The sequence below is a fragment of the Homo sapiens genome, chromosome 4 (assembly GCF_000001405.40).
Source record: "Homo sapiens chromosome 4, GRCh38.p14 Primary Assembly".
NCBI classification, from domain to species: Eukaryota; Metazoa; Chordata; class Mammalia; order Primates; family Hominidae; genus Homo; species Homo sapiens.
This window is the reverse complement of record NC_000004.12, coordinates 99,145,326-99,161,656: the sequence shown is the minus strand read 5'-3', so window position 1 is coordinate 99,161,656 and position 16,331 is coordinate 99,145,326. Positions and strand designations below refer to the sequence as shown.

General features: G+C 38.4%; 1 long non-coding RNA gene and 1 pseudogene across 2 annotated transcripts in view, besides 5 other annotated features; one reads left to right on the top strand and one right to left on the bottom strand.

Moving 5' to 3' along the window:
• The window catches only part of LOC100507053 (uncharacterized), a 212,500-nt gene that overhangs the window by 139,700 nt on the left and 56,469 nt on the right, over positions 1-16,331 (bottom strand). Inside the window, exon 3 of the long non-coding RNA NR_037884.1 lies at positions 4,078-7,112. This is a non-coding gene — a long non-coding RNA (uncharacterized LOC100507053). The remainder of the gene's footprint in view (positions 1-4,077; positions 7,113-16,331) is intronic.
• On the top strand, positions 10-1,064 carry PCNAP1 (proliferating cell nuclear antigen pseudogene 1; annotated as a pseudogene). The gene has a single exon (NR_028270.1). The product of NR_028270.1 is annotated as a proliferating cell nuclear antigen pseudogene 1 (transcript).
• Positions 3,874-4,439: an enhancer, noted in NCBI's record as "4E3 fragment". NCBI's record gives the evidence for it as "EXISTENCE:reporter gene assay evidence [ECO:0000049][PMID:20363298]".
• Positions 3,934-3,973: a protein binding site, noted in NCBI's record as "FOXA site 1". NCBI's record gives the evidence for it as "EXISTENCE:protein binding evidence [ECO:0000024][PMID:20363298]".
• Positions 3,998-4,028: a protein binding site, noted in NCBI's record as "FOXA site 2". NCBI's record gives the evidence for it as "EXISTENCE:protein binding evidence [ECO:0000024][PMID:20363298]".
• Positions 4,035-4,073: a protein binding site, noted in NCBI's record as "FOXA site 3". NCBI's record gives the evidence for it as "EXISTENCE:protein binding evidence [ECO:0000024][PMID:20363298]".
• Positions 4,154-4,194: a protein binding site, noted in NCBI's record as "FOXA site 4". NCBI's record gives the evidence for it as "EXISTENCE:protein binding evidence [ECO:0000024][PMID:20363298]".

Below are 16,331 nucleotides of genomic sequence, written 5' to 3'. Positions count from 1 at the left end.
GTGAGAGATAGGCCTGCTGGGACAACAGTTCAAGCAGGTGAACCTACACAGCATGAAAGTATCACACATTTCCTTAGTGCAGCTAACCCTGTGTGACCAGGGCTTCAACACATACCACTGTGACCACAACCTAGCCATGAGCATGAGCCTCACCAGCATGTCCAAAATGCTAAAATACAACAATGGCAGTGAAGACATCACTACATGGAGGGCTGAAGGTACTATGGATCTCTTGGTGCTAGAATTTGAAGCACTAAATCAAGAGAACTTTTAGACTGTGAATTGAAGTTAATGACTCTAGATGTTGAGCAACTTGAAATTCCAGAACAAGAGTACAGCTGTGTAATAAAGATGCATTCTAGTGAATTTGTTCATATATGCCAAGATCTCAGTCATATTGGAGAGTCTGCTATAATTTCTTGTGCAAAAGATGGAGTGAATTTTTCTGCAAATGGAGAACTTGGACATGGAAACATTGCCACAAACAAGTAATTACAATAAAGAAGAGGAGGCTGTTGCCATAATGATGAATGGGCCAGTTCAGCTAACTTTTGCACTAAGTTACTTAAATTTCTTTATAACAGGCACTCCACTCTCTCTTCCCAGTAACACTCAGTATGTCTGCAGATGCACCCCTTGCTGTAGAGTATAAGATTGCCGGATATGGAACATTTAAAGTATTATTTGGCTCCCAAAATTGAGGATGAAAAAGGATTTTAGAAATTCTTAGAATCCAAGAAAATAAAACTAAGCTCTTTGAAAATTGCTTCTGAGATTCCAGCGTGTACTGAAGTCATTTCCATCAAAAAATTTATGCCTCTGAATACACAGGTAGATGCGGTTTTCTGTAAATAACATATTTTTTCATCTATCTTCTAGAATCTATTTAAAGTACAAAATCCAAAGTCAAATCTGGTCTCATTAACCTAGAGAGATATCTGCTTTACTTACAAATATTCCTTCTGATTTTTATAACAAGAGGGTTATAAAAGGGATCTTGACTCTAAATGCAATTTTTAAGAATTGTGTTTCTGATTTAAATAAAGTTTAATCTGAATTTTAAATGTCAGAAAAGAAACTACTATAGCACATTGGCAGAGTAATTTTGTCTTTTGAATCTACTAATAAAAAATGCAGTTTGTATTTTGTATGTCTGTTTTTATTTACGATTTTACATTTCTAACAACTAATTTTATTATATTTTACACAAAGTACCAGTCCACAATACACTGAAAATAAAACAAACAAAAAGTCATCCTTCACTATGGATCACTCGAGAAAGACTGTCCTAAACCACAGATATGCTGCAAATTGAATGGAAGATACATGAACAGGCATGACTTGAGTCCTGGGGGGAATTAGCAGGTGCTTTATTTTTATGATGGTCCGGGGAGCATTCTGGAAATGATTCTAGACATCTAGCATCTTTGGAAGATTACAACTCATATTATCTCTGGGGAGATAACAACTAGAAAGTTGAGGGCTGTGGACAGACTCTAGGACCAGGAGCAATTGCATCTCTGTCCAGGCAGTTTGACAAAAGGAGAAGAAGCTAAATCTGAAGAGAGAAAATCCAAGTGCCTATGACTGCTGGCAGAACATGGTGCTTGTAGCTCTTTATCAGGAAATCTTCAAGCAGCTACTGGACATCTTTAAGTGTTCAACCATGGTTTGCATTGAGCACCCTGATGACCTCAAAAAAAAATGTGCCCTTTCCAATATCCCAGATTTTTTTTCATGGTATCCTGATAGCTAGAGTGCCATCTATAGACCAAGAGATAGTACATATATCTGGAAGAGAAAACCTGAAGAATGTAAAGACCTGCTGGCCATTATCAAAATATAATTATACAGTTATTTACCTGGGGAAGATAGATTAAAACCACCCTAACTTACATCTATAACAAACGTTATTTATGTAATTTTTTTATTATACTTTAAGTTTTAGGGTACATGTGCACAACGTAAAATTAGGCCTTTAAAAGTCTTCAACAGCATGCTATTTTTATCTAGCATCTACAAGTCTTGAGGTACCTTACTAGTGTTTTCCAGAAGGGCTCCAATTACTCTTTTGGTACTGAATTGTTTCTTCCTAAGTTACGATCTATTCTCGGTAGCAATTGTCTTCAGCAATTCAGTAGACATTCTCTCCAATGGCCTCTCTTTATGCATAGATCCAGCCTCTGGGAGTTTCTGGCAGTCTCACAAAGAACTAAACCCAGAATCATCCATGGATCTGCAAAACGTACAATGACTAAATGCAGATCTAAGATTAAAGGAAACGATTTTTAACAAGAAAGGGTTTTTGGTGTTTTTTTTTTTGTTTTTTTTTGAGACAGAGTCTTGCTCTGTTGCCCAGGCTGGAGTGCAGTGGCACAATCTTGGCTCACTGCAAGCTCCGCCTCCCGGGTTCACGCCATTCTCCTGCCTCAGCCTCCCGAGTAGCTGGGACTACAGGCGCCCGCCACCAGGCCAGCTAATTTTTCGTATTTTTAGTAGAGACGGGGTTTCACCGTGTTAGCCAGGATGGTCTCGATCTCCTGACCCCATGATCCGCCCATCTCGGCCTCCCAAAGTGCTGGGATTACAGGCATGAGCCACCAAGCCCGGTCAACAAGAAAGATTTTTAAGCAACATTAACGTTCATGCTACAGAGGCCAAATTTATTCTGTCATTATTTCAAGCTGGCTCAGTGTGCAGACGTTCCTGGCCCTAGTCACTCCACATTCAGTAAACAAGTAGTCTATAAAATGACAGTAGGTCAGGCATTATTAGTAGGGAGGCACTGAGTACATGATTTGAACAGAACAGACACGGTCCTTACCTTCACAGAGCTTACAGTCTCATAAGGGGAATCGACATTAAACACATAAACACACAAATAATAGATGATTACAAATTGTGGTAAATATTAGAAAAAGATTATTGGCTGTTCCAAGCCAGAATGAAAAGGTAGACTTATTTTAGATTGGAAAGCAGATTTTAGTTTTCGAGGTAAGCTGTAACGAACTGTAGAAATGAACTCTGAAAGTATAGTCCTAAGATAAACTGTAAATACTAAAATAGCAATGTGTGTGTATAAAATACTTAGATATTTTTATATTTGTACTAAGCCTTTTAGAAAATATGGCATTCATTGTCTTTAGAGCTATGTTCTCTGGCTTTTAGGTTTTTTTATTTGATTTGACGACTGTGCTTTGTTTCTACCACTAGCAGAATGTGAAGGTGTTTGACATATGATCACTCATTTCGTATTTCATTAATATCCAATAAAACATATGCGATGTTTGACAACTCAGTGTCTCTTTCTTCATTATCTTCCAGTCTCTGACCTTCATTTTCTTGAGGAATAACCCATTACACTGACCCTGCCTCAGGGCAGCTCAGGTCCATTCTGTGAACGTTTCCCTGCTATTCTGCAAGTGCACTTCAGTCTTGCATGTTATATTCATCCCAGAGAAATCGCAAGATGAAACTGAGATAAAAGTGAGCCCACCAAATTTTGAAAGTATTAATAAAAGTTTAAAGTACTATGAAGGAAAAGTATAGGTGGCTTGTAACTCAGGGTCCTGACCTAGTCTGAGAGATTTAGGGAGGCCCACCTTGAAGAGGTAATGTTTAAGTAAAATCTGAGTAATACAGAAAAGTTATATTTGCCTGGTATCTCAATACTAAAATAATTATATTAGTATGAATTGTTGACTTACAGATACTCATCTAATGATGAAAAAATATTTTTCCTGCATTCTAACTATGACCTAAAGTAGTAATCCGATAGAGTAACCATTAACTTTACAACAATAACAGTACAAAATCTCAAATGTAAACAATCTCTCAAACATAAAACTGAACAATTTCTCAAAGTTCTATTTACAGATAACAGCAAGAGAGGGGAGACTACAAAGCCCAAATTTCATCGAACATCCTAAAACTTTCAAGATCAGCAATTTGACAGCAAACATGAACTTTGTAATCAAACAGACTTCAAATCAAACCTCTGCTTCCCTAACAAACACTGAAAAGATCAAACGGGGTAAGCATGTTGTCTTATTTGTTAATATGGTACATAATACTTACCTCACAGGGTTGTGGTCAAGATTCAATTGATTATGTGTACAAAGTGCCTGATGTTAACTAGGCACTCAATGAGGGTTAGTTTCTTCCCACTAAATAAAAACAAACAGAAGTTTTCTCTTAGCTAACATTTTAAATATCAAACAAGATTTATAACAGAGACAAACCCTATTATAAAAATCAAACTATTAAACAGAATAAGACTTCTTTCCCTTCCCCAAGATGAAGACTACAGGAGCAAAGGTCATTTAGCTGGAAATTTAATTGCATATTTACTAGAATTGGGTATTTCAAAGTCTCTTTTCTGGAAATCAGAGATCTGTCATTGAAGAGTCACATTGCTCCATTATTTGTGCTCTGGCTGGCCCAAGGGAGAACTTGACTCAGCCTAAATAGAATGACTTGTAGATTTGTGAAAGCTGTGTGGTGACCTCGTGTTAATCATGTGGCAATTAAAGTGTCCTATCTTTCTCTCCTCAATATAGTTTTAGACCACATATTTTTCAAGGATTAATGTTTATCCTTGAGATGTAGGTGTGTGTATGTTTTATACACATGATAAAATCAGTCTAAGAGTGAAAAAAAAAAGATGAAACAGTAATAAAAGTGTGATTACTGTTCAAACTAACAGAAATATCACCCAGGAGAACCAGCATGGAGGACCAGGCCCATCCTAGATCTGGGACCCCAAAGCTACTATCCCACAAATTGTTCTGTAGATAGATAGATAGATAGATAGATAGATAGATAGATAGATAGATAGATGATAGATAGATAGATAGAAATAGAATTTAATATCAGACTCTATTGCCCTAGTCCTGAAATTCTGGTGCTGTTCTAGCTGGAGATGTGGAGATATCTACTAAACTTCAACCAAGTGACGGAAACTTAGGGGAATGATTTTTAAGAGAAAGTAGATCCAGGGAGCAAGACCACTGGGATTGGGATTCTCTAGGCTGCTCATATAATTGCTACAGTGAATGTTTGAGGCGGGCACCAGGAGAGTAAGATACCCATGAGATTTCAGGAAATTAGGACAAGCACTAGAGAGCCTCTATAAAGAAATCATGAAGAGCTTTCACTTTGGCTCATTAGAAACATTTTTTGTTTCTTGAAATTTTCTTAATTCAGACCATTTACATGGTCTGAATTCCCACTCCCACCGAAATTGTTTTAATCATCCCACTGGCCAGCTTTCCTCCTATCATCTGTGACACTGCACATTTGCCGTACTTTCCCTCTTCTGGTATTTCCCAAAGCACCACCGACCCAAGGCCCCAGTGGATAGCAGACTTTGCCAATGGTTTAGGAAAGATAGGGAGATTACAGCGCAGTGCAATATGAACAGACAACAGCATTAAATTCAGAGTTAGATTCTGCTGCCCTGGTGTTCCCTGGCCATCTCCACTTACGGAATTTTTCTCTCTTCTCACTCATCTTATTCAAGCCTATTCTTGTCCTTCTCTAACTTCTCCTCCAAGTAATGGTACTACTGTTGCACTAACCCAAAAGCAAAAGACCAAATATTTCTCCTACTTTATTACTTACAACAATATTATTTTATTTTTATTACTTACAACAATTTTTTATTTTTATTATTTACAACAATATATTATCTACACCCCTTCCATCAAATCACTGACCAGAACCACGGTCCCATTATTACCCATGACCATTAGGGCACTTTTCCTACACCAATGTGAACTTTTTTTCCCTCGGCTAATTATTACAAACTATAGGCATATTCTAAAATAACGCTTTTTATTCCAGTTACAGAAGTATATACTTGCTAAACAGATGTGTGCAGATGCCTTGCTAGTTTTCAGGTGGAGTTTATTTTAAAATGGTGTCACTCTGGATCACCTAGGCTCCTGCTTTCCTAACATTCCCCTCTCTACTTACAAGAGGACCCTTAATCGTAAGGGCAAAGGCTGGTCTTCTGTAACTTCTTCCTGCTGACAGTGGATGTTCATTTTGGGGACAGGATTTTCTCATAAGGGTCTACAGTTGGCCTCTGGGGTACCAAGGGAGGTCCTCATTTACATGGTATCCTGATGAGTCTACGGGCATAGACCCTGCCAAGTATTGGAGGAGTAAAAATCTCTAGATGCCTGATCTAGATCTAAAGACACCTAAAGGCAGGGTGTCTTTATTTCCCGGTTCAGAAGACGGGATGGATTGGAAGCTTTGTGTCAGTATCATCTTTATGTGGAATTGTTGTAATCTAAAAAACACAAACTTTACCAAGAATTTAAACAAGCAAGGGCCAAAGATTAATAATAAGACAACTATCAAAGTTCCTAGGAAGGGCAACAACCAAGTGAGACTCAGGAGGGTGCTTCTAATGGCTGACCAGATACAGTTGGGATTGGTGCCTTGGTTATATTTACGCAACCACACAGCTTGTTCATGTATTTTCTGTATATCTTCTTCTATGTGACCTGAGGTGTTTACATAACTGCAGCAGGTTATATTGATTATGGTGCACACTCCTCCTTGTTCAACCAATAAGAAATCTAGTGCTAATTTTCAACGAATAAGTAATCTAGTGCTAATCTTAATTCATCTAAAGCATCCCCCATTTTATGAGACAGTGTTTAGAAACGAATAAGTAAAGTTTTGAAGAGTTGCCTAATAATAGGCAAATTTTCCCTCTGGGGCTCCAACTCCAGCCAATATAAGGCCAATTGTCCACTTGGCTCTCAGGTGAGTGATTTTATATAACTGTGTATTAGAGGACTTTGCTTGTCATATTGTACATTGACCCCTGAACCAAACATTTTCATATACACTGATAACCATGGGTTTCACAATATCAAATAAGACAAGTCTTTTATAGGCTGATCGAATGGGTGACCACATAGCCATATGTATCTGCTGGGGATGCAAACCTGTGTGGGATGGGAGTTGTTAAGAAGATTGAGTACCTATAGGAAAGAGTAGGAATGTTACTTATCTGTTTATTTGTAAAACCACAGCTTTAGGTCTCCTAGGGGTTCGCAAGTGTGGGTTGTGATTTTCTCAGGTGCCTGCAGGGACTCAAGAAACAGGTTTAATTTTGGACATGTGTACTCAGCTAGTCATTCAACTGAAATTTAACAGCAGTGGAGGTGCTTAAAAATAACCTGATAGGGGCCCTTCCATTTGGGTTGTAATTAATCTTTGAGGGATTCCCTCTTTCCAAGTTTTTAATAAGACTAAGTCCCCTCATTGAACAGGGGAGCTATGAATATCTATGGACGTGGTCCTGATGCATGTATATTGAATGAACATGCATGTAACATATGACATTGTTTACTTGGGGTGGAGACTTAACCCTTACCTGGCATGGTCTTAGATCCTGTTTATAATTTGACATCTTATTGCCATAAAGAATCTTTTCCGGCTGGGCGCGGTGGCTCACACCTGTAATCCCAGCACTTTGGGGGAGCCAAGGCAGGTGGATCATCTGAGGTCAGGAGTTTGAGACCAGCCTGGCCAACATGGTGAAATCCCATCCCTACTTAAAATACAAAAATTAGCTGAGTGTAGTGGCACACACCTGTAGTCCCAGCTACTCGGGAGGCTGAGGCAGGAGAATCACTTGAACCCAGGAGGTGGAGGTTGCAGTAAGCTGAGATCACACCGCTGCACTCCAGCCTGGGTGACAGAGCGAGACTCCATCTCAAAAATAATAATGATAATAATAATAATAATAAATAAATAAAAATTTTTAAAAAGCACGGTGAGATACCACCTTACTCCTGCAAGAATGGCCATAATTTAAAAATCAAAAAGTAATAAATGTTGGTGTGGATGTGGTGAAAAGGGAACACTTTTACACTGTTGGTGGGAATGTAAACTAGTACCACCACTGTGGAAAACAGTGTGGAGATTCCTTAAAGAACTAAAAGTAGAACTACCATTCAATCCAGCAATCCCAGTATCCAAAGGGAAAAAAGTCAGTAGTGAAAAAGACATATGCACACACATTTATAGCAGCATAATTCACAATTGCAAAGATATGGAACCAACCTAAGTGCCCATCAATCGACAAGTGGATAAAGAAAATGTAGAACATATACACCATGGAATACTACTCAGCCATAAAACAAAATGAAATAATGGCCCTTGCAACAACTTGGATGGAGTTGGAGGCCATTATTCTAAGTGAAATAACTCAGAAATGGAAAACCATATACTGTCTGTTCTCACTGATAAGTGGGAGCTAAACTATGAGGACTCAAAGGCATGAGAAAGACTTTGGGGATTTGGGAGGAAGGGTGAAAGGGGGTTGAGGGACCAAACACTACATATTGGGTACACTCTACACTGCTTGGGTGATGGGTACACCAAAACTCAGAAATCACCACTAAAGAACTTATCCATGTAACCAAAAACCACCGCTTCCCCAAAAACTATCAAAAATTTAAAAATAAATAAATAAATACCTAAGAATGGAAGGGTCTGTTCTGTCAATCTTATGATCACTATTTCAACGTTAATGCTCGTCGATTGTGCCTGAATTCCAGGTGGGGGAGATGTATAGTGAGACATATGTGACCCCCAGCTTCCCTTCATGGCCTAAACTACACTTTAAAGGTTTTTAAAATTATTATTATTATTTCTTTTCATCAAGAGGGGGTCCATTCTGTTGGGTCTTAGGATTTTATTTTATTTTTTTACATTTATATTCCGTCCTTTTTGTCAAGGTATGCCAAGCTTTTATTTTGTCCCATATTGATGCTGAATGTGTGTTATCATGTCCCAAAGATGTGTTATCTGTCCCAGATCCATCATGGCCCTTGCTGGAAACTCTATGGCTAGGGGACTTAGAGTCAAAAGACTTACAGCCAACTAATGCACTAGGCCAGATGGGAATGGAAGTGAGTAGACATTCATTAACCTTAACACCTCTTTTAAGCAAAATAAATCCCAAAACCAAAAGCCAAAAAGCAAAGTTACGAAATTGACTTATCTATAAATTCTATGCATCAACCTACTGCAATCTGGGCTTTTAGCAATTAGTTATACAAATCACAGCATTTTGTTCAGCTATTTAGGAATCTGTGTACCATCCTTGATTTGGAGGGTCTGAATTAATTTTACTCCTCAAAACCAGCCTTTACAATCTCATGTGATAGTCTCTGGGCCTGGCAGGATTTCATAGTTTCAAATTCTGGGGGTAAAACAAAACATAAGGATGATTTCAGGTAAAGGCAAAATTATTAAATAAATCTTAATGGTTATTAATACAGGCCTGTCCCTGTGTTTCATGAAAGCTGTTTACTCTGTTGCCTTTGCCCAGGTCCAGAGACAAGGCTTTGGTTAACTTGAGTTTGATGTCAGATACTTGCATGAGTCAGTGCCTTCTTTAGCTAACATATGTGTACTAAGGAGTCAAAGCCCTGTAACTTAATAGCACAGTATTAATTAATAGTACCTGATAAGAACCTTTTACAAGGGAGCTAGAGATGGTGATAATGAAGTCCATGACCCGACTGGAAGCTGTAAAAAGATTTTATAACTTTGTTTGATTAGTTTTGATAGCTTTAATAATCCCCAGCAATTAGTCAGACTTCATTTAGGGTTTAATTGTGAGGATGTTTGTTAAAAATGATGAAGGCTTAAAACATTTGATAAAAACAGAAGCACAGGTCACTGTAAAATAATAGTTACTCATTTAACCAAATTGGTAATTAAAAGACTTTAAAGAGAACCTACAGAAGGTCATATGGATGTAAAAACTTTAGCCCTTTTAAATCCCAAGTTTTTTAAAAGCAGTTGAAAACCTAATAAAGACATAGGAATACGAAATCCTGTTTCTTAAGTCAGTTACCAAAAAGTCGAAAAAGAACTTCTGCAATATGACTGCTTCTCCTTGTGAGAAGCTCACTTAGATAGTCTGGAAGTCAAACTTGATGGGAAAAAAAGTGCTTGAATTTAACAAGACACAGGTGTGTTCAAGGTTATCAGTAGAGCGGGGGAATATGTGACTCTTGGGAAGAGCATGAGTTTTCTGATTACATTGAAAATTTAGACATATCAAGAAAAGCCAAGAGTACAAAATCAAATTATACTGGAGGAAAGAATTGCTTCTCTAAACTTGCAACATAAAACATTTTAGCATTAGGCCACAACAACAGTTAGAACTGGAAGAAAAAAGTTACAGGAGCTAACAAAAATGCTGTAGGAGAGAGTTATTGTCTCAGGCTTCTCAAGGGGAGAAAAAGCTGAAAGCAGCAGGACACAGAAAAGTTGAACTGAGATATGATTGAGAAATTTTTAAAAGAAACAGATTATAAAATTAAAAGTAAAATTTCTTGCAATTTCATTAAGAGCAAATCAACACCTTAAGAAAATCTTGTTTTAACATAGGGGACTAACCCTAGAAAGAGTATTATAAATTATTTCCTTTTAATTATAACCAACTTAATCACATACAAAATTCCTTTCATAAATTCCCCTTCACAAAGCTTATCACAACTTATATAGACCACCTACAGCAAGCTTGGACTTTCTGACTTGTCCTAAACTTCCCTTTTTCTTAATCAGTCATTTTATTTTAGGACAGAAATTTACCATACAAGATCCTTTTTCATGCAAAATTATTCTCTTTTCTTTATAACCTGAGTTACCAAAAAATATATCTTCATATCCATAACTTTATGTCTCTCTCTCTCTTCCCTACTTACTGGTTCTTTCTCACTTTGTTTCATAAGTAATTATTTTCAAGTTCATAATTTGAGTTGACCTTTAGATAACTTCTGAATTTGACAAAATGATTCTTTTTCTCAATAAGACTAGATCCCAGGAGGCTTTTCTCTGCAATCCTGTCCAGAGAGATGCCAAATTAAATAACCCAAAGAACAAAAATCATCAAGATCAGAAAGAAAATGGTAGCTATTAACTTCAGGGCATGCAAGCATAGGTCGACATCCATCACTAGTGAGGCACAGACAGCAAGTATGCAACAGAAAAAGGGGACAAGGGGGACCAAGAAGCAGTAGGTGCTGACAAATATCTCTCTGTACCTCAAACACTTTATCCGTCAGGGAGACATTGCAACTCTAAACCCCTAAAGGCTGAAAAACCCTGTCCAACAGGGTGGCAGCCGACCTGGAGGATCCCATAACTCCAGGCTCCTCAGCAGACGTGGCCCAAAGGATCCAACAACCAGGGACCCCTAACCCCCAATCCCTGGGGAATAAAAGGAACGTGGGTATCTCAGTGTCTTCTTGGGTTCAGAAGGCTAAGCAGAGTGCAAAAAGGAAAAGGGACAAGAAAGGGAAGAGAAGGGACAACAAAGGTCACTCACTCATCCATGAATCCAGAAACTTAGGAAGCAGGAAATCCTGAAATATTTGTCAGATGTTAGCATTTTATAGATAAAACCATTCCACAATTTCAGAAACATCTTTTCCCATATCATAAACTTTCTTAATTGGAAATCACCCAGACATCCAACAAGTAATCCAAAGAAATATGTAAACCAAAACTTTGGGTAAAGTGGTCTTTGGTGGGGGTTTGGTTTTTTTAAAAAAGAGCTTTTTTGCCTTTTTTTTTCTTCAGTTTCAAATGAGTTTCTAATGTTCACATTTTAGCCAGAATTGGTTGAACTCTACAAGAAAAACAAAATCTCCAAGTAACTTTGAACAATAAGCTTTATCTCAATGCCAGTAGCCTAATAACAGCAGATTCAAAACAGGCAGAAAGAAAAGAGAGAAACAGAGAACTTCAGATGTGGTAATCAGATGGCAAGCATGAAAAGTGAAAGTAGTGAAGCGCTTGCCCAGCCATACAAGGCCAGCATAGAGCTGCAGTAAAAGCAAAGGCATCAAGCTGGAAAATGATGAGAACTATAGCTTTTCCATACCTGGCAAAGGGGATCAGGTGGATTAATCCAAAGCACACAATGGCAAAGATCTTGCAAGGCTACTTCCATTTTTATTATACCCCAGGGACTCTAACCTCATGTGCCTAGTCTCTAACCTGAATATCAGCTTTGCCTAAACCTAATAGAGGACACCAAGATGGACCCAACTTACCAGAGGGGCCAATGAGTGTTGTGCAGACTGAATTTCCTTGGCATTAGGTAACATCTTAAGGTCCTTTTATAGTGTCCCCAGAAGATGATGCTAGAAAGGGGTCTTTTCGGCCGGGCGCGGTGGCTCACGCCTGTAATCCCAGCACTTTGGGAGGCCGAGGCGGGCGGATCACGAGGTCAGGAGATCGAGACCATCCCGGCTAAAACGGTGAAACCCCGTCTCTACTAAAAATACAAAAAATTAGCCGGGCGTAGTGGCGGGCGCCTGTAGTCCCAGCTACTTGGGAGGCTGAGGCAGGAGAATGGCGTGAACCCGGGAGGCGGAGCTTGCAGTGAGCCGAGATCCCGCCACTGCACTCCAGCCTGGGCGACAGAGCGAGACTCCGTCTCAAAAAAAAAAAAAAAAAAAAGAAAGGGGTCTTTTCAAGATCCAGACCCCAAGAAAAGGTTCTTGGATCTCACCCAGGAAGGAATTCAAGGTGAGTCTCAGATTTCTGTGAGAAGAGATAGTTTACTGAAAGCCACTCTGTCACCCAGTAAAGCATCCTCAAAATGAAAGCAGAGGAATGCACTGTCTTTAAGTTTTTCTTATATAGGGGTCTTGCCTATGTAAAGATTAAACTAAGCTGTGCCTATGTGCAGGTGGGCTGACAGCATGACTAAATGTATTATTCTACTGATTTAAAGAAAACTATCCTTGATATCTTAATGTGTAAGTCCATCGAAGCATAACTATATCTTGAAAGCATATATTGTTATAGGTGTTGTAACATCTGGACTTTTCTGTTGTAGGACTTTGTCCTTGCAGGCATTACCAAGCTGCTTCCTTAGTGGTAAACATCTTAGGACCATAGGTCATGACTGGCAAGGAATATGCCTTGCTAGTTTTAAGATAGAGCTTATTTGAAAATGATGTTACTCTGGCTCTCCTAGGCTCCTGCTGCCCTAACATGTCCACCACTTTTCAGCATTTCAGCATTTTCAGCACTCTCCAGCATTATTAGTCCCTTTCAAGGAATGTCCAGAATAGGCAAATCAATAGAAACAGAAAATAGATTAGTGGTTGCCAGAAGCTAAATGGAAGGAGGAATTAGCACATATGGGGCCTCTTTTGGGTGACTGAAATGTTCTGGCCGGGCATGGTGGCTCCTGCCTGTAATCCTAGCACTTTGGGAGGCCGAGGCAGGTGGATCACCTGAGGTCAGGAGTTCAAGGCCAGCCTGGCCAGCATGATGAAACCCTGTCTCTACTAAAAATACAAAAATTAGCCAGGTGTGGTGGCAGGTGCCTGTAGTCCCAGCTACTCAGGAGGCTGAAGCACGAGAATCGCTTGAACCCAGGAGGCAGAGGTTGCAGTGAACCGAGATCACACCACTATACTCCAGCCTGGGTGACAAAGCAAGACTCCATCTCAAAAAAAAAAGAAATGTTCTAGAACTAGTAGTCGTGATAGTTGCATAACATTGTAAATATATTTTGAAAACAGTAAGTTGTACACCTTGAAATGGTTAAAATGGTAAATTTTATCTCAATTTTTTTTTAAACAGGAAAAAAAGAAACAGTGAGGAAATGAACCATAATGTAGAAGTGTAGGGTGAAAAAGACAAATGGGCCAGGAATGGTGACTTGCCTGTAATCCCAGCACTTTGGGAGGCCGAGGCAGGCGGATCACCTGAGGTCAAGAGTTCGAGACCTGTCTGGCCAACATGGTGAAACCTCATTTCTACTAAAAATACAAAAATTAGCTGGGCATGGTGGTGGACACCTGTAATCCCAGCTACTCAGGAGGCTGAGGCAGGAGAATCGCTTAAACCCAGGAAGCAGAGGTTGCAGTAAGCCAAGATTGCACCATTGCACCCCAGCCTGGGAGACAGAGCAAGACTCTGTCTCAAAGAAAAAAAAAAGACAAATGGGTGAAATGCTGAGGAATTGCAATCTATACATTTTTACAAATACTCTACCTTATCAGGGCTAAGACATCAATTGTCAGATATGCCATAATTTTATGTACCATTATGAAAGAAAAATGGTGCTAATTAAACTATGACATGCCATCAATAGTAAGAAGCAACTGATTACAGAGATTTTAACATGAAAAGGAAAGTTTTAGAATCTAGGAGAGATGTCATTAGATGTAGAAAATAAACAATTATTTTAAAAATAAGGAGAAAAGAGGCTGGGCACAGTGGCTCACGCCTGTAATCCCAGCACTTTGGGAGGCCGAGGCAGGCAGATCACGAGGTCAGGAGATCAAGGCCATCCTGGCTAACACAAGGTGAAACCCCGTCTCTACTAAAAATACAAAAAAAAAAAAAAAAAAGCTGGGCATGGTGGCGGGCACCTGTAGTCCCAGCTACTCGGGAGGCTGAGGCAGGAGAATGGTGTGAACCCAGGAGGCGCAGCTTGCAATGAGCCGAAATAACACCACTGCACTCCAGCCTGGGTGACAGAGCAAGACTCCATCTCAAAAAAAAAACAAAAAAACAAAAAAAAGGAGTGGTTGGTGCAGAAACCCAATGAGTTCAATTTGAAACATCTTGGGTTTCAAATGTGCTATTTGGGTATTCAAGTTGAGAATGATGGAATATTATAAAATATTATTATTTATGCTAATATAATGGGAGAGAAATTATATTTCTAAAGGTATATATAACATTGGGAATTTTGAAAACATCTAGAAGCCCAAAAATGAAAAGTCACAAAAGGTAAAACCATTCTCATAAGAAGAATCCATGATTTTCTTTTTTTCCATTAGGAGAAGCCCTCACATTCAAATGCCCAGGATTTACTATTCTGAAACCTCTTCTCCCTTCTCCTCTCAAAACAATTCTCAGCAGATCCTTTGATATTTATAGAAAGGAAAAGACCATCTTTACCTTCAAAGAAGTTTATCAAAGTGCAGCACAGAAGGAAAGACCAAGAAAAGACAGATATCAAGCATTCAGAAAAGAGTGTTAATTCCAATTGTGTTTCCAAGGTCATTATTCAATTTGACCAGCATTTAGTAATCACCTAGTATTTTTTCGGGGCTCTGAAGTATACTCTTCAGGATATGAAATGTAAATAAAATACAATCTCTACAGTTAAGGAGGCTACAGGTAGGAAACAGGTTGTCAAAAAAGGCACAAGTAACAGAACATGAGACAAAATGAAGCAAAACTTACTTTGCTTCATTTGCCTATTTATGTATAAGCCTGAAGAGTCATGCAAACACGAGTGCTACAGAGATTCAAAAAGGGAAAAGACCATATCCAAATAGAAAGAGTGGGGATGCAAGATAGGAACCTGGAGACACACCTTAAGGAAATATAAGGGGTTAGTTGGCCACAGTAGATGTTCCAATCAGAGCAAACTAAAAAAAACTCATGCATTGCATTGGGGAAAACAGTTTCAATAGAACAAGGAGATGGAAATCAAACAAGTTGAGTGAAATGTGGTTAGTGAAAAAGTGGAAACGAGTATAAATTACGCTTTCTAAAAGTTTAATAGAACAACTGAAATATTTAAGAGATGGTGGAATACTAGGGGACTATTAAAAGAAATAATGTAGATAATGAAAACACACTGCCAGGGAAAGATAGTAAAAATGTCATTAAATTTCTTAAAACACATGGAACACAGAATACTTGCATGCACGTAATATCAAGCTTCAAGATATGTAAAGTAAAAAAAAGTACTCTCAGAAATTAACAAACTCATAATAATGATGTATTTTTGTTTCTTTTTATTTTTAGTTATTATTTAAAATAATTTTATTGTTATTTATTCATTTTTATTTTTAATTTTAATATGTACAGAAAGAATTGTACATATTTGTGAAGTACCTATGATACTTCAGTACACACATACAACGTGTAATGATAATTAGAGTAATCATAATGATTTCTAAACATCTCTCAGTAGTTAATAGAATAAGCACAACAAAATCAGTATGAGCTGACTCCAGTACAGGACTGGTGCTTATCCTTATTAATAATCAGATCAATACAAATTAAAAACAGAATTAGATATCTTTACACACGACCAGATTAAGAAGATTTTTAAAGTCTGCCAATTCCAAGCATGGGTGAGGATGTGGAGCAACGAGGACTCTCATACACTGCTGCTGGTAGGTGAAGCCATTCTGTGAAATTCCTTGGCCTTGCCTATTAAAGTTGAAGACTTTAATTCCACTCCTAGTCAAAAAATATTTAACAACCAGTACAGAAAGGAAACTCCATTTCTCACAAAT